Source organism: Homo sapiens, chromosome 19 (assembly GCF_000001405.40).
Source record: "Homo sapiens chromosome 19, GRCh38.p14 Primary Assembly".
Classification (NCBI taxonomy): domain Eukaryota; kingdom Metazoa; phylum Chordata; class Mammalia; order Primates; family Hominidae; genus Homo; species Homo sapiens.
Window position 1 is genome coordinate 58,033,975 of NC_000019.10, and position 23,187 is coordinate 58,057,161.

Genomic DNA, 23,187 nt, shown 5'->3' on the forward strand with positions numbered 1-23,187 from the left:
CCGCCCCTGCCCGGGAGTCCCGCAGCGGTGACTTGTCACCGACGCCCGGCGTGATCCAGCGGACCAATGGCGGCCGCCCGCGGCGCGCAGGGTGCGGGGATGGGGTCCGCCCGCGGCGTTGGGCGCGCTCGCCAGCCCAGGGGTCGCCATGACCGAGTGGCCCAGGCCCGAGCGAAGCCCGCGCGCGGTGAGTCCGCCGCGGCCCATCCGTCCCTCCGCCCGCCAGAGCGTCCATCGGGACGCCCACCCGGGAGGGTCTCGGCGCCGCGTCGGCGGGAGCTGGCCCGGGATCGCGGTCCAGGGGCGCGCGTCGGGGGAGGCGGGCCCGGGCCCGGGAGGGGGCGGGCCGGGCCGGGGTTCCAGAGCCCATCGGGAGTCCTGAGGTCGCCGTAGGGGAGGGAAGGGGAAGGCTAGAGGCCACGCGGGGCGGGGACTGGGGGGGCTGGGGCCGCCCCTTCCGCAGGGACCCCGACCCCTGTTGGCATCCGCCTGTCCGTTTGAGGCCGAAGCCCCTCTACGTACCCCCATTGCCCGCCCAAACACCGCTCGGCCGCGTCCAAGTTCTCCCTTCCACACCTGATCAGCATCCCGGGACCTATCTCCCTCCTGAACAGCCGCCCCCGGACCCATCTCCCTCCCTACCCGGCCCCTTGGGCCCATCCCCCACTGGAACAGCAGCCCCCGACCCGTCTCTCTCCCTACAAGCTCCCCCTCCCCGCCCCAGGCCCATCTCCCTCCTGAACAGCCGCCCCCGACCCATCCCCCACCCAATCACCCCACCATCCTCCCCCCAACCAGCCGTCCACAGCCGTCGTCGCTGCCCCTCCCCTGTATTCCCAGTGCGCTGCCCTTGCACACTTCCCCAGCTCGTTTATTATGGAACTCCTCCGTGTGGCATCCTAAGCTCCCAACGCCCTCCCCACTGTAAGCCCCCTTCTCAAAGCCAGAACCATTCACTGACTGGCGCAGTGAACACGTCTTCTATGTCACTAAGCATCCGGCATCAGCGGCAAAGCCCTTCTGCCCATCCCCGCAATAGAATTTGGGGCTCGGGCTGCAGATCTCAGTGCCCATGCCAGGTGAACCTGGCCCTTCCACAGGCACTGAGCCCTCCAAGTGACACTCTCTCACACACACACATCCCCAACATTAATCAGAGACCCCTACCAAAGTAGACTTCTAGGACCCCAGGGCCACCACAGCATTGCCCATGGGGGGGCCCAGATCCTCCTCACCAGCCATGTAGACCTCAGTCCCCTTCACATCATCCCAGGCCCTCTTCATCTTCCAGAAACAGCCACCCATCAGTCCAGGACTCTCATCAGCTCAGGTACCCCCACATTGGCCTAGGTGTTCCACATCAGCCCCCATATAGACCCCAGACACACCCATGGACCTCTGGTGCCTTCTGCTAAGACCTCCTCTTTACCCTCATCCCTGATAAACTTAGCATCTCCTCCCACAGACCTCAGCCCAGGACCCTGGAGGATGCTGAGGGGCTACAGCCCCCCTCCCTAGAGTCTCCAGGGTGAGCTGCCATGAGCACCTGAGAGAGTATAAGGTCTGAGGCCCCAGGGCAAAGGGATTTCTTGAACCTGTGGAGCTTCAAAATAGGCCCTTTTTTCTTATTCAAAACTACATATATAAAAGTGTGAATACAACATAAGAGAGCATTTTTGCCTGTGGCCTTGGCAGGGAAGACCAAGCTGGTAGTTTCCCAATCAGGGTGCAGGTGGCCGGGTACGCTGACTCGAAGATGGCTGGCTGGGCACAGTCCCCGTGAGTTGCCTTTCTGCCACCCTGCACCTCTCCTTTCTCCTGGATTGTAAAACCAGATGCACGAGAACTGCAGAGTGTATGAAAAATGCAGCAGAGGATGAAGAGGGAAAAATCCCATGGAATCCCTCCTTTTCACTTGTCATAAGCATTTCCCATATGGTCAAAAATCCTTCCTAAAGATGTCTTGTTTTGTTTTGTTTTTCCATGTTGATGAAGGTCACATGGGAGCCCGACACCATTTGGAGGAGATTCAGAGAAGTATGAACAGCACAAAGCACTTGGCCGCCCCCCATGGGCGTCTTCCCAGGACTCCCTTTCTATGACACTCACGCATCATCCTGCATCCCACGTTCCCTGTGCCTCATGTCATCTGTACATCATGTGTCTACTCCCCGTGGTCATGTCATAGTGTTGTGTACTGGGCACGGTTGAATACTCCCATCACATGATGGGGGAGGTAGTTGATCCCACCACGTTCAACTGTTGGGCACTTTTGTAGTGAATCTTGGTGCCTGAATCTCGCATCTTGCACGCAGTCTACCAAGTGTTCTTGATATATAAATGGCCACAGTGCTTTCCAGAAAGGTCGTGCCAATTTATATTCTCACCAGCGGATCAGTCCAGAGTACAATTGTTAAAGACAAACAAACGAAACCTCCCTGCTTATTTTTATTTTTACAACTTTTAATGTTTTCTTCAGTTATATGTTCACCATAGTCGGCTTGGAAAATGTACAAAAGGTAACTTCTTTTTTTTCTTTTCTTTTTTTTTTTTTTTTTTGAGACAGAGTCTTACTCTGTCGCTCAGGCTGGAGTGCAGTGGCACAGTCTCAGCTCACTGCAATCTCCGCCTCCTGGGTTCAAGCATTTCTCCTGTCTCAGCCTCCCGAGTAGCTGGGATTACAGGTGCGTGCCACCACGCCCAACTCATTTTTGGTTATTTATTTTTTTTGGGATGGAATCTCACGCTGTCACTCAGGCTGGAGTACAGTGGTGCGATCTTGGCTTACTGCAACCTCTGTTTCCTGGGTTGGAGCAATTCTCCTGCCTCAGCCTCCCACGTAGCTGGGATTAGAGGTGTGCACCACCACGCCGGCTAATTTTTGTATTTTTAGTAGACGGGGTTTCGCCATGTCGGTCAGGCTGGTCTTGAACTGCTGACTTCAGGTGATCCACCCACCCGGGCCTCCCAAAGTGCTGGGATTACAGGTGTGAGCCACGGCACCCGGCCACAAAAGGTTATTTTAAAATTACTCTTCCCACTTTCCCTCTCTTTTCAGAGTCTCCAGTCTCCCTTGCCCTCTTCCTGGTCTCCACCCCCAGCTTGGACCTGGTAGGAAAGTCAGGAAGACAGCAAAGATAACACCATGGGTAGACCTGCTGCTGGTGGTGGTGTCATCCATTATTATGTAGCCCACCTGGCTGCTTCCATTTAAATGGAATTTAAATTTAAAATTCAGTTCCTATTTCAGGTGCTCCTAGCCACACGTAGGTGGTTGCATGGGTAGAGAATCTTTACATCCCTGTAGGAACTTCACTGGGCAGTGCTGGCCACACCACGGGGCAGGCATTCTTGTTCCCGCAGCTCGTCAGTCAATGTGTGTTGAATGACTAAATGAGAGGGAGATAGACACTAAGTAAGGGGAAAAGTTGTGTTCAGAAAGTCATGGAGGTTATGAAGACAGTGCCATAAGGATGATGGCCAGGACATCTGCGAGGGGAGGAGCTGGGGTGGGAAGGGGAGGGGCTGGGGTGGGATGGCAGGTGCAAAGGTCCTGGGGCAGCCAGTGGCTTGAACTCAGTGCAAAGTAGCCTGTGAGAGGCATGTGGAAGATTAGGTCAGAAGGTGGGAAGAGGTCAGGTTGGTTCCTTGGGGTGCTGGAGGTCAGAACAAGGAAGTAAGGAGCCGAGGGGCATCCTGAGTACAGAGGGCCACCATCTGATGTGACCCCTCTGTCCCTGCCCCTCTCTGCAGGCCCCTGATTGCTGATTCTGTCCGCCTGCCACACCGGCTCTGTCCGGAGCCACTGGGACTCGGGATCCAGTCCACACACACCCCTCAGAGGGGCACTGTGGCCAGAGAAATGCTTCCACGGCCCAAAGCCCCTGCCTCCCCCAGACGCCCCCAGACCCCAACCCCGAGTGAGCAGGACGCAGACCCTGGGCCAGCAAGCCCCAGGGACACCGAAGCCCAGCGTCTGCGCTTCCGGCAGTTCCAGTACCACGTGGCGAGCGGGCCGCACCTCGCGCTGGGCCAGCTCTGGACGCTGTGCCGCCAGTGGCTGAGGCCCGAGGCGCGCTCCAAGGAGCAGATGCTGGAGCTGCTGGTGCTGGAGCAGTTCCTGGGCGCGCTGCCCAGCAAGATGCGGACCTGGGTGCAGTCACAGGGCCCCCGAAGCTGCAGGGAGGCCGCCAGCCTGGTGGAGGACCTCACACAGATGTGCCAGCAGGAAGGTGAGAGGCGCAGGCTTCCTGCCCCGGGCCGGGCCAGGGGGCCTGACGTCTCCGAGGACCGAACTGCCCTCCTTCCCGCCCACATCGCTCCCACCCCTGCCCGGCCCCTCCCGACCAGCAAACCTCTCCTGCCCCGCGGCTGTGTTTTTAATTATTTTTACATATAAATGTGCTGCACGCCTCATCTGCCTCGAATTTCTCACTCAGTCGGTGATTAAAGATCCCTCCATTTCCCATGCGTCCATCTGTCCTGTGGCTTTGTGTCTGCTGCTCCTCACGGCTGCTCTCTGGGAAGGACGCTGCCTCGCCACTTCCTCCCAGCCACCTGCAGCGCCTCCTGCAACACTCAGGAATCCTAGAGATCCTTAAGCCTTCACAGGGCGCAGGCCCCATCGCTGGCTGATGGTGGGGAGAGACGCTTAGGTCTGCATCCCGACTCTGGGAGCTGGGAAATTTGGGGTTGAAACTGGGCTCCCTCCCTGTCTCCTCTCTCAGCTCCCCTCTCCCCTGACAGGGCTTTGTCCTTCTGCATCTTTGCCCCTGTGACCCCACGTCGAGATTCCATCCACCCAGGGCCCAGTCCCATGAGTGGGGCTCTTTCTTTCCTAGTGACAAAAGTGCAGGGATTGGACACTGGGAGGCCAAAAGAGGCAGCCACGGATGGTGAGAGCAGTCGTGGCACTGTGGCCTCGGGAGGGCTTCCCCAGCAGGGCCCCAGCAAGGAGGGTGCCAGGCAGCCACGCTGCAGGAGCAAAGGCTGGGAGTGAGAAGGGTTGCATCAGAGCTCACAGAAAAGAGGGGTGGAGCAAGGGAGAGGAACAGGCCCTCCCTTTGCACCCTCCCACTACAGCATTTCCGTAGACCAACAGTGATAAGCAGTTTGCAGAACACAGGGTCCAGGGTCCCCTTACTGCCCCAGGGCAGCCGGTGCCACACTTAGGAAAGCTGTGACAGCTGAGCTTTCCAGAGGCTCAAGGGTAGCCCTGTAAGCTGCAAGGCAGAAGCCAGATGAATTGGCCCTTTGAACTCTCTGATCCTGGGGTAGAGGGCCCAAGAGCACTGGCTTCTGGCGCTCTGTGGACCTCACAGCCATCCCAGCCCAGAGCCACCCTTGCTAGTTTTAATGTTCCATGGTCACTCTCAAAATTCAACGTTTTTGAGCAAAGGGCTCTCTATCTGTCTTCCATAGCGGTGGTCTGCTTTCTACATTCCATATTTTGAGCCTATGAAACAGTAGAGCAAGTATAATGAACAGCCCTGCACCGGCCACCCACCCTTATCAAAGCCCAACCTAGGAAATGCTTTGTAATCTCAGCACTTTGGGAGGCCAAGGCAGGCGGATCACAAGGCAGGAGTTCGAGACTAGCCTGGCCAACATGGTGAAACTCCGTCTCTACTAAAAATACAAAAATTAGCCGGGCGTGGTGGCGCGTGCCTATATTATATCCCAGCTACTCAGGAAGCTGAGGCAGGAGAATCGCTTGAACCCAGGAGGCGGAGCTTGCAGTGAGCCAAGATCACGCCACTGCACTGCAGCCTGGGCGACAGAGCGAGACTCCGTCTCAAAAAAAAAAAAAAAAAAAAAAGGAACAACCAGTGGAATCAGCTGAACCCCCATGCACGTCTCCTAGTCCTGTTGTCCCCCGCTCTGCCTGACACCCCAGAGGTGGCCGTGATCTTGAATTTTTCTTTTTTTAATTAAAAAATAAATAGGGGGGGGTCTTGCTGTGTTGCCCAGGCTGCTCTCAAACTCTTGGGCTCAAGCAGTCCTCCTGCCTCAGCCTCCCAAAGTGCTGGGATTACTGGTGTGAGCCACCACGCCTGGCCTGGTTCCCACGTCTTGACCCTTCTGTCAATGGTGTCCTGAACCCTGCTTCAGCAGTCGTCCTCTGTGCACTCTGTGCACACAGCCCCGGGGGGCTTGGGGAGCAGAGGGCTCACAGTGCTCGGGCCTCCCTAGTTAGTCAGTGCTGCAGTGTGTGTCCTCGTGGGCTTCTGGAGGCGCACAGGGGTGTGGAGTATGAGTGAAGAGGGTACTTGTCTTCAGCGGCCCTCGGTGTCACCACAGGTTCCTGCCCAGCAGCCACATGGAGGGACAGAATGACAGCCCTGCAGCCACTCTTGCCTGCGCCTCAGGGGTGCTGCAGGGATGTTCGGGGAAAGTCTGCCCTCCCCAGAAGGCCTGGAGAATTGGGGGCTCTGGGAAGAACAGGCCCCTCTCACGATCCCTTTCTCCCGCACAGTTCTGGTATCTCTGGACTCGGTCGAACCCCAGGACTGGAGTTTCGGTGAGGAGGAAGATGGGAAGAGTCCAAGGTCCCAGAAAGAACCATCGCAGGTGAGCCCGGGGCCCCCAGCTCCGTGCTCCTGCACCCCAGGGCATGCGTGCCGCTTCTGGGACGGCCTCAAGGATGCCCCATCCAAGGACTGTGTGAGGTTGTCCCCAGCGCTCCCAGGAAGCCCGGCCTCCAAACTCCCCGCCTGCCCCACAGATTCCCCAAGCTTCCTGGGGCTCAGTGCTGGGCGAGGGCAGTCAGTGCAGCTGTGTGTTTGCTGTGTGCCTCTGGGCCTCACCCCAGCCCCTCCTGTCCTTTCCCAGCCTCGCAGTTAAGACCCATCCTCCTGTGTCACCCGCACCAGATGCTGCGTGTGTTGAGAAAGTCCTGCTGCCCCGATCATCTTCCCTCAGTGAACCCAGGATTCTGGGCGGGCCCAGAAGGAAATGCTGAGGGCTCCCCTGCAGCTAGACCTGCTGTTGCGCAGGCCTCAAGGCGACGGGAGGGGCCCGGCTCGGTTGGGAGCCAAGCGGATCTCTGTGTGGCTGGAGAGATTAAAATCAGGGGTGGGGACACGCAGACACATGAGAGAAATCCAGGGGTAATGGGTAAATCACAAAAGAACAAAAGTAAGAACTGCTAAGTGAGTAGCATGTGTTCGTATGATCAGGGCTACTGAGTTTGACCACTTTCTGCCTCTGGATCTTGGTATTGGAGCCGCCAAGGGAAACACAGCACGGTCGAACAATGAATGGAGCAAGGTTTTGCTCACAGACCAGAGACCGGGCCAGAGCACCATCTGCCCATGTGGCTGTCAGGCCGGGGCCAGCAGGTCCCTCCTAGAGGGGTCCTGACCTAACAGTGGGGCTGTCTAGGTGCCACGTGAAGCACACGCCTGAGCAGAACAAAGGGGCACACATTGGGAAACAGAGACCTCCACACGAGGCACTACACCCAGCACAAACTGGGGGGACCCCTTATCTCTTGGTAAGGAGATGTTCTAGGCCCAGGACCCACTCTCAGGCAGCCAAGTAACAGGCTGAAAGACTGCACATGTGTGTCTCCCACTGGCTTAGTCCGTTCTGGGTGCTGTAACAAAATACGGCTGGGTGTGGTGGCTCATCCCGGTAATCCCAGCACTTTGAGTGAGGCCTCACGGGAGGCTGAGGTGGGAGGACCACTTGGTCCCAGGAGTTCAAGAGCAGCCTGGGCAACATGGCAAGACCCCATGTCTTAAAAAAAAATGAGCCAGGTGTAGGGGTGTGCACCTGTAGTCTTAGCAACTCTGGAGGCTGAGGTAGGAGGATCACTTGAGCCCAGGAGTTCAAGGCTGTAGTAAGCTATGATCATGTTTCTACACTCCAGCCTGGATGACAGAGTGAGACCCTAACTCAAAAAACATCAACAGCCGGGCACAGTGGCTCACGCATGTAATCCCAGCACTTTGGGAGGCTGAGGCAGGCGGATCACAAGTTCAGGAGTTCAAGGAAGAAGGAAGTAACTTGTGGAATGCTGAGAAAGGTAAAAACACCTTCAAATAAGGAAGAGGAACAGGCTATGACCTAATGCTTGCTTGGACCAGTATAGGCACACCAGGGCAAATATTTAGGCTAAATTGTGGGAGCTAAGAACATAAAGTACATTGATTTTTTTTATTATGGCTAGCAGATATATAAGAATGTTAGCACAGGTCTTTGAATAAATTTTGCTTCTAAGAGAAGTTACTATTTATTCCTAATTAGATGGGGAGGAAAGTCTTTGAAGAGGAACTTCTACTTTACTTTTTTTTTTTTTTAATGGAGTCTTGCTCTGTAGCCCAGGCTGGAGTGCAGTGGCGCGATCTCGGCTCACTGCAAGCTCTGCCTCCCGGGTTCACGCCATTCTCCTGCCTCAGCCTCCGGAGTAGCTGGGACTACAGGCGCCCGCCACCTCCCCGGCTAATTTTTTTTGTATTTTTAGTAGAGACGGGGTTTCACCGTGTTCACCAGGATGGTCTCGATCTCCTGACCTCGTGATCCACCCGCCTCGGCCTCCTGAAGTGCGTGAGCCATCGCGCCCGGCCCTAAAATAGATTTAAAGATCATCATGAGAGCCCCTCTCCTGCACCAAAACAAAGTTTCGTGGGCCGTGGTTTCTGTTTCTGCATCTAACGGAGGCATCTAACCTGGGTAGACCACAGTTGTTGGCCACGGGCTTCCTCAGCCGCTGCCGGCAGATGTGCTTATCTGACTCCCTCTCCCATCCCAGACGCCACGTGGAAACCACAGCCGCGCTCACAGGCCATCCCCTCACCACACGGCAACTCCAAGGACTCTCTTTTTGCGGGGGTCGTAGGTGGGGAAGGCTGCTGAGGTCCTCCCACCCCTCTCCCACCAGGGCCGCTGTGGCTGAGAGGATCCTCGTTGGCGCTGGTTTAGGCTGTGGGGCTCAGCCACAGCAGGGTGCCCCAACGTCCCTGAGCGAGCTGCACTTGTGGAGGGAGAGGCCTTAGGCCTGAGGCCTGGCGCCCGCGTGGAGAGACGGCAGCTCCGGGATCGGGGCGCTGGTGAGCGCGGCCCCAGGCATTGCCGCTGCCAGGGTGCTAACACTGCCTGAGGCACCTCTGCTTTTGAAGTCGCCGGGGATTAGCGGGAGCGTAGGTGAGGGACAGGTGGAGCTGCTCTGCGCGGGGCAGCCCGGCTCGCCAGGAGGCGCTGTGGAGTGGGCACGACTGGCGATCGCTGAGCGCATACAACCGCCTACCATCGGAAGCCTTTTGAGAAATGCTTCCTTAGGCGGTTTCGTCACCGTGCATACATCGCAGAGGGCACTCACACACCTACACGCACAGCCCATGGCTCCTAGGCTACAGACCTGCACAGCACGGGGCTGCACTGAATACTGTGGGCAACGGTAACACAATGTTGTTTGTGGATTTAAACATAGAAAAGGTACAGTAAAAATACAAAATAGAAGATAAAAAACAGTACACTTGTATAAAGCACTTGCCAGGAAGGGAGCTTGTGAGACTGGAAGTTGCTCTGGGTGAGTCTGAGTGGTGAGTGAATGTGAAGGCCTGGGAGGTTATTGTGCTGTGGACTTCATAAACATGGTGCACTTAGGCTACTAAATTGGCAACTATATTTCCTTCTTCAATATAATTTATCTTACTGTAAGTTTTTGCTTTACATTTTTTTTTTCTTTCTTAGACTGACTCTCACTCTGTCACCCAGGCTGGAGTGCAGTGGCACGATCATGGCTCACCGCAACCTCAACCTTCTGGGCTCATGCGATCTTCCTACCTGAGTCTTCTGAGTAGCTGGGAACACAGGCACACATTACCGCACCGGCTAATTTTTATATGTTTTAAAATTTTTTTAGTTTTTGTGTAGATGGGGTTTCACTATGTTGCCCAGGCTGGTCTCAAACTCCTAGGCTCAAGCGATCCTCCCTCCTCAGCCACCCAAAGTGCTGGAATTACAGGCGTGAGCCACTGTGCCTGGCGTAAAAAACTTTCTGACTCTTGGGGCCGGGCGCGGTGGCTCACGCCTGTAATCCCAGCACTTTGGGAGGCCGCGGCGGGCGGATCACTAGAGGTCAGGCCTTCGAGACCAGCGTGGCCAACATGGTGGAACCTCGTCTCTACTAAAAATACAAAAAAATAGCTGGGCGTGGTGGTGTGCACCTGTAAGTCCAGCTACTCCGGAAGCTGAGGCAGGAGAATCGCTTGGATCCAGGAGGCGGAGGCTGCAGTGAGCCGAGATCACGCCATTGCACTCCAGCCCGAGCAACAGGAGCGAAACTCCGTCTCAAAACAAAACAAAACAAAAAACAACCTGTGTCATTTTAAAATAAATAAATGATACATCATTATCCCACAGAAAGGTTATGCTCTGGGGGCAGCAGAAATAAAAGCTTTGTTTTAAAGAAGCGGAAGAAGGATTAAACCTTTTTAAAAACCAAAAACATCGAAGCTGGGCGCCTCCTGTCCGAGGCCAACCGCTGCCGTCAACCGTCCGCACGGACGGCGCCTGAGGAGCCACCGAGACGGCGAAGAGCCGCGGCCGCCGCGGAGAAGGAGGAGGAGCCAGCGCAGGAGGCCCGAGCGGCCGCCACGCCCGGACACACGGCGTCCATCTTAATGAGGAGCTGCCGCGGCTGGGCGCCCGCCAGCCTCCCGCCGCCGCCTCGGGTCACCGCCCCGCGGGGTAGTCCGGGGGATCCTGCTCATCTCAGCTTGCCAGCACCCTGGGGTTGAGGAGCTGCCCGAAAGTTTCATTTGGCTGCTGCACTCCCACCCACCCTGCCTACCCGTGCTTCAGAGGCGATCACCTCAGCTGTTGGACTCTGAGGCCCGAGTGCCTTCGCACCGTGTCGAGAGCGCCATGGACCTCCACCTCTGTGGGTTTTGTGGTCCTGGGGCCTCGGTGCCTTCCTGCCCGCGGCTGGCACTCTTCGCGCCCTGTTGGTGATGACTCGGTAGTAGAGAAGTCCCTCAAGTCCTTGAAGGACAAGAACAAGAAGCTGGAGGAAGGCGGCCCTGTGTACAGCGCCCCCGCAGAGATGGTGGTGAAGTCCCGGGGGCAGAGAGGGTGCTGGGCGAGCTGAGGCACTACTACCATGGCTTCCGCCTGCTACGGATCCACACCAAGATCGCAGCACGCATGCTCTGGCGCATCCTCAACTGCCACACCCTGACCCGCCAGGCGCGCAGGCAGTTGCTCCGGTTCTGTGCCGACCTCTTCCGCCTGGTGCCGTTCCTCCTGTTCGTGGTGGTGCCGTTCGTGGAGTTTCTGCTGCCTGTTGCTGTGAAACTCTTCCCCAACATGTTGCCATCCACATCCGAGACTCAGTCCATCAAGGAGAAGAGGCTGAAGGAGCTTCAGGTCAAGCTGGAGCTAGCCGAGTTCCTCCAGGACACCATCCAGGAGATGGCCTTGAAGAACGAGGCAGCCAAGGGCAGTGCCACCAAAGACTTCTCTGTGTTTTTCCAGAAGATCCGGGAGACGGGGGAGAGGCCCAGCAATGAGGAAATCATGGGTTTTTCCAAATTATTTGAGGATGAGCTGACCCTTGACAACCTGACACGGCCGCAGCTGGTGGCCCTGTGCAAGCTGCTGGAGCTACAGCTTCCTGCGCTTCCAGCTCACGATGCGGCTGCGCTCCATAAAGGCAGAGGACAAGCTGTTTGCTGAGGAAGGGGTGGACAGCCTGAACGTCAAGGAGCTGCAGGCGGCATGTCGGGCACGAGGCATGCGGGCCCTGGGCGTCAGGGAAAACCACCTGAGGGGCCAGCTGAAGCAGTGGCTGGACCTGCACCTGCATCAGGAGATCCCCACATCGCTGCTCATCCTGTCCCGGACCATGTAGCTCCCGGACACCCTCTTGCCAGCCGACCAGCTCAAGTCCACACTGCAGACTCTCCCAGAGATTGTGGCAAAGGAAGCACAGGTGAAAGTGGCCGAGGTGGAGGGCAAGCAGGTGGACAAGGCCAAGCTAGAGGCCACACTGCAGGAGAAGGCGACCATGCAGTAGGAGCACCGCGAGAAGGAGCTGCAGAAGCATTCGGAGGTGGCGAAGGATGTTGAACCCGAATGTGTGGAAGGCGCTCCCCAAAGGCCAGGGGCCCAGCCCCAGCCAGAAGTGCCTGACACTGTCCTGCAGTCAGAGACCATGAAGGACACTGCCCCCGTGCTAGAGGGCTTGAAGGAGGAAGAGATGACTAAGGAGGAGATCAGCATCCTCAGCAATGCCTGCTCTAAGCTGCAGGAACAGAAGAAGTCACTCACCAGGAAGAAGGAGGAGCTGGAGCTGCTGAAGGAGGACATGCAGGACTACAGCGAGGACTTGCAGGAGCTCAAGAAGGAACTTTCAAAGACTGGTGAAGAAAAATACATGGAAGGATCTAAAGCCAGCAAGAGATTGACAAAAAGGGTGCAGCAGATAATCGGGCAGATCAACGGCTTGATCTCGCAGCTGGAGATGGACCAGTGGGCCAGCAAGCTGGCCCCGGCCAAGGGCGTGCCCATGGGGGAGAACGTCATCAGTGTTGCCGAGCTCATCAACGCCATGAAGCAAGTCAAGCACATTCCCAAAAGCAAGCTCACCAGCCTGGCCGCAGCACTGAATGAAAATAAGGATGGCAAGGTCAACGTCGACCACCTCATCAAGGTGATTGAGCTGGTGGACAAAGAAGATGTTCACGTCTCCACCAGTCAGGTGGCCGAGATTGTAGCAACACTGGAAAAAGAGGAGAAAGGGTGGAGAAGGAGAAGGTGGAGAAGGAGGTTGCAGAGGTGAAGAGCTAGAGCCACTGGCGTGGGCACCTGTCCTCCTGCTGCACTGCCACCCTGGTGAGGGCTGTGAGAGCGATTTGCGGTGATTCTTAGTGGCTCATCTAATACTTTGGCTGGAATAAATCAGAGACTTCCATAATCAAGTAAACTGTAATTTTCATCATTCCACGGAGCTTCAATCTGTCTGGAGTCCCAGAATCCCTCCACAGAATCCTGTCTGGATCCACACTGTGGTGTGGCTGCCACGGCCTCCTGGCTCCAGAGGCGGCTGGGCCAAGGCAGGAAGGTGCCCCCCTGTGTGTGGCCTCACGTCTCAGTGTCTGACTGTGCTGCCCTGTGCCCAGGGAGGAGAATGAGGACCACATGGACTCTGCCCACACGGAGCTGGCTGCTACGCCCACCCTCAGAGGCGTCAGGAGACACAGCCTGGCCCCCTCAGGGCTGAAGATGCCTCCATTCACCTGTGGACCTTGCTTTCTAGATTTCAGCATCAATAGACCTGTCTTCCTGCATGCTTTTAGTTGGATCTGGGTCACTGTGGAGACAGAGGTATCTGCCATCTCTGTGGCCTCTGGAGAGTGACGTCTCCCTGCTGGCAGGGCCGGTTCTCACCTGCAGTTTTCCTTGTGTATCGGAGCTCTTTCTTAACTTTCTATTTTCCCCCAATTCTTTAAGCAGTCGATTGGCACAGAGTTTTCCCACGCTGGTCGGCCTGCCCCAAGAGCCATCTCTGACCCAAGCCACGCAACTCTGACGTAGCCCTAGCCATGGGACTCCCTTGGGTGGTGCTTGGGCTGCGCGCCACGGGGGCTGCAGTGGATTTACTGTGTCAGGGATGAGCCTGGCTCGGGTTGGTGGGGCTCTGAAGCACATTTGGGGTTCTTTGTAGCTTCTAATGTGAGGTTTGAGTCCAGTGCACCCACAGCAGCATACCCTTCTCACCCCTTGTGGTGTTGCAGGCTCAGGCCCCTGGGGTCCTTTAACAAGCAGGCTGGTCACCGAGGCACGAAGACGAGGCACAGGGCATCCCCTGGGGCTTCAAGGGCAACACCCGCAGTGCTTAGGGTTTACCCTGTGCCCTCTGGGTGGGGTGGCCTCCCTGCACTCGGCAGCATGGTCGGGCTGGCGAGGGCGTGGGCAGGCAGTGTCCTGTGGCCACCTCCACCCTCCTGCCCAGCCGGCTGTGTCACACTCATATTTTTAAGGTCAGGTTGGTTCCTGGTAAAAATGTCCCTCCGGGGGCCTCCAAGCATAGGATTTGGAAGACATAGGAATGGCACAGGCAGCCAGGAAAGCAGCTGCGCTCAGACGATGCCTTCTCCATTACTTGAAGCTTCTTTTTGTTCAGCCATTAAAGAAACTTGACAAAATAGGAACAGGAGATATTTCTCAATTGTAAACCTTTGTGCAGGGACAGTTGGCTTCCAAAGCCTTTCAGATTTCAATTATTTGAGAAAGAAGTTTGTTTTAGATCCTTAATATTTATGAATTCTCAAAAAAAATCAATGTATAGACATTTTATAGCTTTAACCCTGCAAGTGTTTCAAGCTGTGTTTCTTAATTAGTATACTAACTGCCCTGGGGCATGTAGGTAAGTGTAAATGATGTGGTTTGAGCCAAGTTTTCATCTGTAATCCCACTGCTTGAGGTGGCCAAGGCCGGAGGATAAGCCAAGCCCAGGAGTTGGAGACCAGGCTGGACGATGGAGCGAGACCATGTTACTTTCTTTTTCTTTTTTCTGAGATGGAGTCTTGCTCTGTTGCCCAGGCTGGAGTGCCGTGGCATGATCTCGGCTCACTGCAACCTCCACCTCCTGGGTTCAAATGATTCTCCTGCCCCACAGACAAACGCCACTATGCCTGGCTAATTTTTGTACTTTTAGTAGAGATGGGGTTTCATTATGTTGGCCAGGCTGGTCTCGAATTCCTGACCTCAAGTGATCTACCTGCCTTGGCCTCCCAAAGTGCCAGGATGATGGCGTGAGCCACCGAGGCCGGCCCTTTTTACCTTTTTTTGAGACGGGGTCTCACTCTGTCACCCAGACTGGAGTGCAGTAGCACAGTTATAGCTCACTGCAGCCTTGACCACCGAGGCTCAAGTGATCCTCCCATCTCAGCTAGAATTACAGGCTTGAGCCACAGTGCCTGGTAATTTTCTAATTTTGTAGAGTTGGGACTTAGCTATGTTGCCTACACTGGTCTTGAACTCCTGTTCTCAAGCAATTCTCCAGCCTCAGCCTTAGCCTCCCAAAGTGGTGGGATTCTAGGTGTGAGCCACTGTGCCTGGCCTTTAAAATTTTCAATCTCCCCAAAGCCTCCAAAATATTCTTTAGTTAGTTCTTCAGAAGTAGCTGGGCTCAATCCACCCACGAAAACCTTTCGGGGGGTTCTTTCCCTTTTCAAGCTTTGGCTCTTTGCAGCAGGGGTGGGGGGTGATCCTATCAATTTGCCATCCAGCTCCTGTTCTTTCCGTTCCAAGGCCTTAAGAGCACTAGCAGCGTTTTCCAAAAGCACAGATACAAATCCCCTTGATCTTCCAGTAACTGTTTTAACTGTGCAATCTGCAACTTCCCTAAGTCAAGACACATCGTCAGATCTTTTTGCTTGTAACACTGTACCATCATCCGGCAGATCTTGGATCCCTCTGCGATTTCCTCTGTATTGGTTGTGGTACTCATTCAGGTCTTTGCTGGTGGAGAAGTTGTAGGCGGGGGGTGCTGGTGCACATTCAGGGTCAGGCAGCAGCTTATGCTACGGAGTTGGATTTCAAATGGTGGTGGAAGAGAGTCATTATAATTTTACGAGATCACTGTGGTGTGTGTGGTCCATTGTTGACTGAAACACCATTACCCCATGGGGAGGGGCTGCCTGAAGCCTGTAAGGGTAGCTGCCCGAAGCCCTTTGAGGGTAGCACTCTAAGGTCCCTGAGATCCCATGGGCGTATCTCCCTGAGGCCCTGGCGGGAATGACTGTTGGAACCTCAGTGGTAAGTGATGCCAGTGTCCTCTGTGGAACACACTGCTGGGGTCCCTGGTGGTTCCCACCGCGTAGCTGATACTCGTGGCCCCTGCTTTTCTTCTTTGTGCATAGCGATCTCCTGGCATCTCAGGTATGCATTATCTCACCGGTGAGCTTTTTCTTGTGGGCATTCTCGGGTTTTTTCACTTTACTCCACTGTGTTGCTGCAGATCTTCAATGGGTCCTTGAGCGTTCTGGGCTATTCTGGCTTGTGAATATCTGTCTGTAGTTGATTTGTGTGTGGGTAGTGGGAGGGGGAAATGAAGGTTGGTATCTCCTACTCCACCATCTTGGTGATGTCGCTCCACTCTTTCCTTTTTTTTTTTTCCAAAATAACCCAGCACCATTGCCCCAACTAAAACCATTAAGATAATTCCTGGCCGGACACGGTGGTTCATGCCTGTAATCCCAGCACTTTGGGAGGCCGAGGTGGGTGGATCACTAGAGGTCAGGAGTTCAGGACCAGGCTGGCCAGCATGGTGAAGCCTCGTCTCTACCAAAAAATACAAAAATTAGCTGGGTGTGGTGGCACGTGCCTATAGTCCCAGCTACTCGGGAGGCTGAGGCATAAGAATCGCTTGAACCCAGCGGGTGGAGGTTGCAGTAAGCCAAGATTGCGCCACTGCACTCCAGCCTGGGCGAAAGAGTGAGACCCTGTCTCTAAATAAATAAATAAAATAGAGCTATTAAGATAATTCCTCAACAACAGTAAGTTGCCAGGCATTCATATTTCCTCCTTTATTCTTGTTTCATTTTGTTTTGTTTGAGACGGCGTCTCGCTCTGTCGCCAGGCTGCAGTGCAGTGGTGCAATCTCAGCTCACTGCAACCTCCGCCTCCTGGGTTCAAACGATTCTCCTGCCTCAGCCTCCCGAGTAGCTGGGACTACAGGTGCACGCCACCACACTCAGCTAATTTTTGTATTTTTAGTAGAGATGGGGTTTCACCATGTTGGCCTAGATGGTCTCGATATCCTGACCTCTTCATCCTCCCGCTTCTGCCTCCCAAAGTGCTGGGATTACAGGCGTGAGCCACCACGCCTGGCCCCTTATTCTTGTTTTCTTTTTCTTGGTTGCTTGGTTTGCATCAGGACTCTCCCAGGGTGTGACATGCATCTCCCTCCCGCCTCCAATCTCCCCACCTGTCATCCCTGAAACAATAAACCTGGGTCCACCTCTGGAAGGATAAGAACCCAGATCTGTGGCCAGTGGCTCACCGGGGCTATGGGGATGTGTTTGCATTTGAAGGTACAGATAGGGCCCCGGGAATGTCTTGGTTTCTGTGCCTGACCCAAGTGTGTCGATAGCTCCTCTGATGCCCCCTGAGAGTCAGGGGAACTAAGCATGCCCCTCTCTCCACACATACATGCCACCCACTCTTCTCTCCACGCAGCCCCTCTGCTGCCCTTGATTAGTCACAGACGCCAAGGTGGGTGAAGTAGGGAAGAGCCTGACTGTCCACAATGGCCCCCAGTAGCCAGGTACCAGGAAGAGGCGTAAAAGGGAGTCCCGCCTTTACTCCTATAGATGGTGGCTCCTCTGGTTACGATTTCAGAATTCAACATGTTTTACAATCAAAACTAGCATTTGATAAGAAATAAAAATCAATAACCCAGCCAAACACACCATCCACATACTCCCAACGTGAGAGCAGGAAGAATCTTGTGCCTTAACTCCCTTCCTGCCATCAGCTCCCTCCCTCCCTCCCTCCCTCCTCCGTCTCTAGCCCAGCAATCCCTCTACTCCAGTTTTGCCCAGCTATTGGGAATCTTGGACAGCTTCCTTAGGCCCCTGTGCATCCAGGTAGGGTTGGGGCAGCAGAAAGCGAAGACCCACTCAAGACAGACCTTGTCAGTGCGTGCTTGACTCCTGGTCTTTTCTGATGCTTTGTTTGACTCAACATACCTCCTCCAACAACCTGATTTGCATTGATAAGTGTCACTGTGTTTTCCTTTGACACGACTCCGTTGCAGTTTGCCGAGCCCTTGATGGTACCAGGCTCTGGGCACGTAGCACCCACATCCTCACTGGAAACCCAGAGAGCTAAAGCTCCTCATCCAGGGCCACACAACAAGCAGGGCTGGAGCCTGGACACCAAGCCAAGCCCCTCTGTTTCGAATTCTTGCTCTTCAACCACAGCTCAGTCTCCTCCCAGGAAGTGGTGATCCCCGCTTTGGGCGGGACACGGTTAGGTGCATCAGAGGTCATAGGTCGCAGGTGGGATGTGAAGTCTGTGAAGTCGCCCACTTCCTCTGGGCTTGTGGGCAAGGACAGTGCAGCCTTGGGGGACGGGAGTTAGGAGCCCCAGCTTGTAACAGTGACCCGAGCTGTGGCACAGGTCCCCTGGCTCCATCTAATGCTCTGTTGTCACTGTCCTGAAATGATCAACGATCTTTGAACAAGGGGATTTGCATTTCCATTTTGTACAGGGGCCCCTCGAATTCTGTCTCAGGTCCTGTTAAGAGCTCTTTAGGAGTGGTTATTTATTTTTTGTATAAGCAGAGTCTTGCTGTGTTGCCCAGGCTGGTCCCAAACTCCTGGCCTCAAGCAATCCTCCAGCATCAGCATCCCAAAGCACGGGAACAACAGGCGCGACACCGCGCACTGCCCTGGGACAGAGCCTTTGGGGATGACGCCCGTTCCTTGGTTGTTCGGTGGTGGTGGGGAGGATGGCTCCTGAGGGGCAGCTGCCGAACAGTCCTGTGCTTGCCATTCTAGGCGTCTGAGCTGATTCTGGATGCAGTGGCAGCAGCCCCAGCACTCCCCGAGGAAAGTGAGTGGCTGGAGACTACCCAGCTCCAGCAGAGTCTGCACACCAGGGCGGAGGCCGAAGCGCCCCGCGCCCCTGGCTTGCTGGGTGAGTCTGGCTCCTGTGTGGATTAAGGGTTGGAAATGGAGTTTGGGACTTCAACCCAAAGCCACAGACTTTGTTAATGGGTTGAGTTGGGTGCTTCGGTGGTGAACTCCACACTTCCCCCAGAAAGCATGCACACCTCCTGTGAGGACTGAGATCTGGGGCCCCTAGAACCACCATGTACATCGTTCACCCTACGAGAAGGGCCTCAGCCTCCGCACCTGAACGGCAGCCAAGGCAGACAGTCTGAGAGTGTTGGAGCACGGGGTTACCCAGAGGGCCAGCCAGGTAGGAACAAGGGCCAGTGCTGTGGGATCTGCTCCCAAAACATGTGCCTTTTTTTTTTTTTTTCGAGACAGAGTCTTGCTCTGTTGCCCAGGCTGGAGTGCAGTGGTGTGATCTTGGCTCATTGCAACCTCCGCCTCCTGGGTTCAAGCGATTCTCCTGCCTCACCCTCCTGAGTAGCTGGGATTACAGGCGCACACCACCACGCCCAGCTAATTTTTGTATTTTAGTAGAGACGGGGTTTCACCATGTTGGTCAGGCTGGTGTCTAACTCCTCACCTCATGATCCACCTTCCTCGGCCTCCCAAAGTGCTGGGATTACAGGCATGAGCCACTGCACCGGCCACATGTGCCCTTGTATCTTAAAGGACAGAACGGAGGACACAGGGGCCGTATTGAGCAGAGGAAGGGCCTGGACTTGGCTCAGTCACTGGGGTCCTCCGTGCCCCTGGGGAGCACAGGGAGATGCCAAGGCCATCCACTCACTACAGGTGACCCATCTCCCTCGCCCTCCACAGGGTCCCGGGCCCGCTTGCCTCTGAAGCCGAGTATCTGGGACGAGCCTGAGGACCTTCTCGCAGGGCCCTCCTCAGACCTGCGGGCAGAAGGGACTGTGATCTCGAGCCCCAAGGGTCCAAGTGCTCAGAGAATCAGTCCCCGAAGGAGAAACAGGAACACTGACCAGAGCGGCCGCCACCAGCCATCCCTCAAGCACACCAAAGGTGGTACCCAAGAGGCTGTTGCAGGCATCTCGGTAGTGCCGCGTGGGCCCCGAGGTGGGCGGCCCTTCCAGTGTGCCGACTGTGGGATGGTCTTCACCTGGGTCACCCACTTCATCGAGCACCAGAAGACCCATCGCGAGGAAGGGCCCTTTCCGTGCCCCGAGTGTGGCAAGGTCTTCCTGCACAACTCCGTCCTCACTGAGCATGGCAAGATCCACCTGCTGGAGCCACCGAGGAAGAAAGCCCCCCGGAGCAAGGGCCCCCGGGAGTCCGTCCCACCCAGGGATGGAGCCCAGGGCCCAGTGGCCCCTCGCAGCCCCAAAAGACCCTTCCAGTGTAGCGTCTGCGGGAAGGCCTTCCCCTGGATGGTCCACCTCATTGACCACCAGAAGCTCCACACGGCCCACGGCCACATGTGAATGGCCAGCCTCGGGCCTCGGCCACCCGGCCCTGAGTCCCTGGGGGGAGCTGATGGGCCCCAGAAGATGGGGGACATCCCCCAGCCCCACCAACCCCTGGCCACCTTGGGACTCCTCTTGAAGGACACAAGCTGTTTCTCGGAAGACCCTGGACACCTGCTCCGAAGCCAAGCACGGGATGGGGCTTCCCAGGGTCTCAGCTGAGAAGCAGCAGTTCCACAGCACAGCCTGGTCAGTCCTGCGCACTATAGTTTTGCAAGTGGCTTGAAGAGGAGTTTCATTCGCGTCCCATCTTTCAGAAGCCTTGTCCAGGTCTCCCTGTTAGCACCTGACTCAGCGGCAGCTTCTGCCGCTGGGTTTTCATTTCACTGTGGATATCCCTGAGGCCATGAGGGTGGGAGCCGGCCTGGGCAGCTCCAACTCCAGAGAAGGGTACAGCTGACCCCGGCTGCCCTCCTGCCAGCTTAGCCCCCTTGGAACCTAACAGATAAACAGGGTTTTGTTTTTTTCCTTTTTTGGGTAAAGTACATGCAACATAAAATTTACCATTTCAGTCATTAAAAATGAACAGTTCAGTGGCATTAAGCACATTCACAACACTGTGCAACTACCAGCACTCTCTAGCTCCAAAGATGTTTTCGTCTTGCCCAGAAAGAGAGCCCACAGTCCTCAGCACGCCTTCGCCATTCCTGCCCGCCCTGACAACCAGAATCTGCTTCCTGTCTCTGAGGATTTCAGGCGCAGTCTTTAGGCCTGACCAAAACTGACCTGCCTGTATTTTGTTTGACTTACAGAAGGATTTTTTTTTTAGATAGATGCCAACATTTGTTTAAACCATAAAAATCTGGCTTTCTGGTCTGCCAGGAAGGATCAGATGGTCTCCAAAGAGTGGGCCCGCCTCTCCTGCTAGGCTGGAGCAGAGTGTGGGCAGGCGGTGACGTCACAGCGGGGAGCCAGCCTCGGACTCGGCTTCTCACCCGTCCCCAACTCATTGTTGTCGGACACTCGTCCCCTTTCAAGCAAAAGCCTTAAAAGTTTTTGCCTTTTTCTTTTTCTCCTCCCGACTTCACTTGGAAACACAGTGTTGGGCTGACTGTGAATCCGCACAGGCAGAGACATTTTTCCAAGTCGCCTTCTAAATCAAAAGCCTTTGGACTTACCCACGTCACATCCGCCTGCTGCTGCTTCTCAACCAAGCTGCCCCCACTCTCGGCCTCTGTCCCCGATGGCCCTCTCGGGCTGTGCAGGTCCCACGGACCCACCGCTGCCTTCACTTCATCCTCGCTGCCGCGCTTGCCTTCTCACGCTTGCCTTCTCGGAGCGCCCCCTAACCGCGCCTCCGGACCTTGCTTCCCGGCTCCCTCAGGCATCCCCAGCTTTTCCCTGCAGTCCCCACTGGGGGCTCCTGGCTCTATCCTATGCCTTAATTGCTGGTGGGCTCCAGCTCCCCTCCTGGCACCTTCTCTCTCATCCTGCAAAGGAGGAGCTTCTTCTACAGAGCTCAGGATGGAGGGTGGGGTCTTGGCCCCGCAGTCAGCCCATTACTCTCGGAAGCCCCCCTGAGCCTTCTCTCAGGCGCAGATTGATCGTCTCAGACAACGGGATGTGTAGAGATAGCTCTCCCGAGTGCCCCCACTTGTTGGGAGCCAGGGGCTCATTCCATGCTGTTTCCATCTCGGTCTCCACCTGCTGGAGGCACAATCACAGCTCAGTTTGTTGGTGCCAGAGTTGCACAAGAAAGTGGGTGCCATTGAACACGAGGCATCAGTCAGGCTCCAGCCTACCTGGGCTGGCCCCAGAGACATCCATCTGGTGTCCCTCAGTTCTCCAATTGAGTTTGTCCAAATAACTCATCTTCCCTTGTGCAAAAACAAAAAACAACAACAAAGAAAACAACGCAAACTGCCTCCCCTCTGGGGTTCCCACTCCCCTCAGAGGGACCACCACCTTCCAAGGCCCCACAAGGATTTTTGATTGCCCTGGGAACCCAGCTCCCAATCCCTCTCAGTTCTCTTTTCTCCTCTGCACCATCAGCCCCAGGCTCTCTCCCCATTTCTTGAATGCCTGCAGCTGCCTCTAAGCAAACTCTGCCTCCAGCCCGTTCCCTCTGCCCCATCCCCATCCTGCAGCCAACAGGGTCCCTCTAAAATGCAGACACTGAAAAGACAAAGCCCAGCAGGGTAGCTCTATAGTGTCCTTTGTGGCCCTGCTGCCTCCACAGCCCCCAGCACTGGGATGGTGGAGGCTGGTGTCCTTAACTCACTGTGTCTCCACCTGACTCCACACTGCCTCTCACCCTGGCCTCCTCCTGTGCCTAGAACAGTCTCCACTGCCATACTTGACCACACCCAGCATACAACAGGTCCTACAGAGTGAAGGGATGAGTGACTCAATGAGTGAGGGGAAGTCCCTGTGGAGACACCGGGACACCATTGTGGGCTGCAGTTTCCAGCCGGGGAAGCCTCCCTCGACCTCTGAGGGGAGGTGGGCCACCCCTTGAGGGCCACTCTCAATGCGCTCCACCTTGGCTGACGGAAGCAAGGACGTGGCCCAGGATCCTGGAGGGCCACTCCTGTGTGCGCCACCTTGGCTGACAGAAGCAAGGACGTGGCCCAGGGTCCTGGAGGGCCACTCTTGTGTGCTCCACCTTGGCTGACGGAAGCAAGGACGTGGCCCAGGATCCTGGAGGGCCACTCTTGTGTGCTCCACCTTGGCTGACAGAAGCAAGGACGTGGCCCAGGGTCCTGGAGGGCCACTCTCACGTGCTACACCTTGGCTGACAGAAGCAAGGACTTGGCCCAGGGTGCTGGACCAGTTGTGGCAGCTGCTGCAACTCACGAAAGCCACCACGTGGTGTTCTTCACCTAACTTGCCCAGTCCCAAGCCCCTGCCCGAGCTGCAGTGAGACAGAGCACTAGCCCCTCTCTTCTCTTTGGGTTCACCCCAGCTGTGGAAGCCCCAGCACCTCAGCACGCCTCCCTTGCCCTGTGCCTTCCTCTGCCAGCACCCCCCAAAGACTCCAACACCCCCATCACGATGTGCCCCAGTCTCCTGTCCTCCAGCCCTTGTCACAGGAGCTGTGAGCCCAGCCCTGGGCACTTCACGCTCTG

General features: G+C 55.9%; 1 protein-coding gene and 2 pseudogenes across 3 annotated transcripts, besides 3 other annotated features; 2 read left to right on the top strand and 1 right to left on the bottom strand.

Annotated features, from left to right (window-relative positions):
* The first annotated feature begins 50 nt into the window (after positions 1 to 50).
* Positions 51 to 22,528, top strand: ZSCAN1 (zinc finger and SCAN domain containing 1). Of its 3 annotated transcripts, NM_182572.4 has the most exons (6): positions 51 to 187; positions 1,996 to 2,037; positions 3,754 to 4,232; positions 6,476 to 6,570; positions 18,516 to 18,654; positions 19,455 to 20,657. In NM_182572.4, the coding sequence occupies exons 3-6, from the start codon at positions 3,863 to 3,865 to the stop codon at positions 20,075 to 20,077; spliced, it is 1,227 nt and encodes a 408-aa protein (NP_872378.3). In that variant the 5' UTR covers positions 51 to 187; positions 1,996 to 2,037; positions 3,754 to 3,862; the 3' UTR covers positions 20,078 to 20,657. The 3 variants fall into 3 exon arrangements, with proteins under 3 accessions (NP_872378.3, XP_006723212.1, XP_047294586.1); XM_006723149.3 differs by lacking the exon at positions 51 to 187 and having other exon boundaries at positions 769 to 2,519; positions 19,455 to 22,528; XM_047438630.1 differs by lacking the exons at positions 51 to 187; positions 1,996 to 2,037; positions 3,754 to 4,232; positions 6,476 to 6,570 and adding an exon at positions 12,985 to 13,332 and having other exon boundaries at positions 19,455 to 22,528.
* Positions 4,427 to 4,721: a silencer, noted in NCBI's record as "tiled region #748; K562 Repressive non-DNase unmatched - State 23:Low". NCBI's record gives its function as "represses a minimal TATA promoter and a strong SV40 promoter by Sharpr-MPRA in K562 cells {active_cell/tissue: K562}" and the evidence as "EXISTENCE:reporter gene assay evidence [ECO:0000049][PMID:27701403]".
* Positions 4,427 to 5,395: a biological region, named in NCBI's record as "Sharpr-MPRA regulatory region 748".
* Positions 4,513 to 5,395: an enhancer, noted in NCBI's record as "H3K27ac-H3K4me1 hESC enhancer chr19:58549855-58550737 (GRCh37/hg19 assembly coordinates)". NCBI's record gives its function as "activates a minimal SCP1, AML or CMV promoter by ChIP-STARR-seq in primed H9 embryonic stem cells {active_cell/tissue: H9 hESC(primed)}" and the evidence as "EXISTENCE:reporter gene assay evidence [ECO:0000049][PMID:30033119]".
* On the top strand, positions 10,466 to 14,277 carry LETM1P2 (leucine zipper and EF-hand containing transmembrane protein 1 pseudogene 2; annotated as a pseudogene).
* HNRNPDLP4 (HNRNPDL pseudogene 4) lies at positions 15,072 to 15,573 on the bottom strand (annotated as a pseudogene).
* Positions 22,529 to 23,187: the final 659 nt, after the last annotated feature.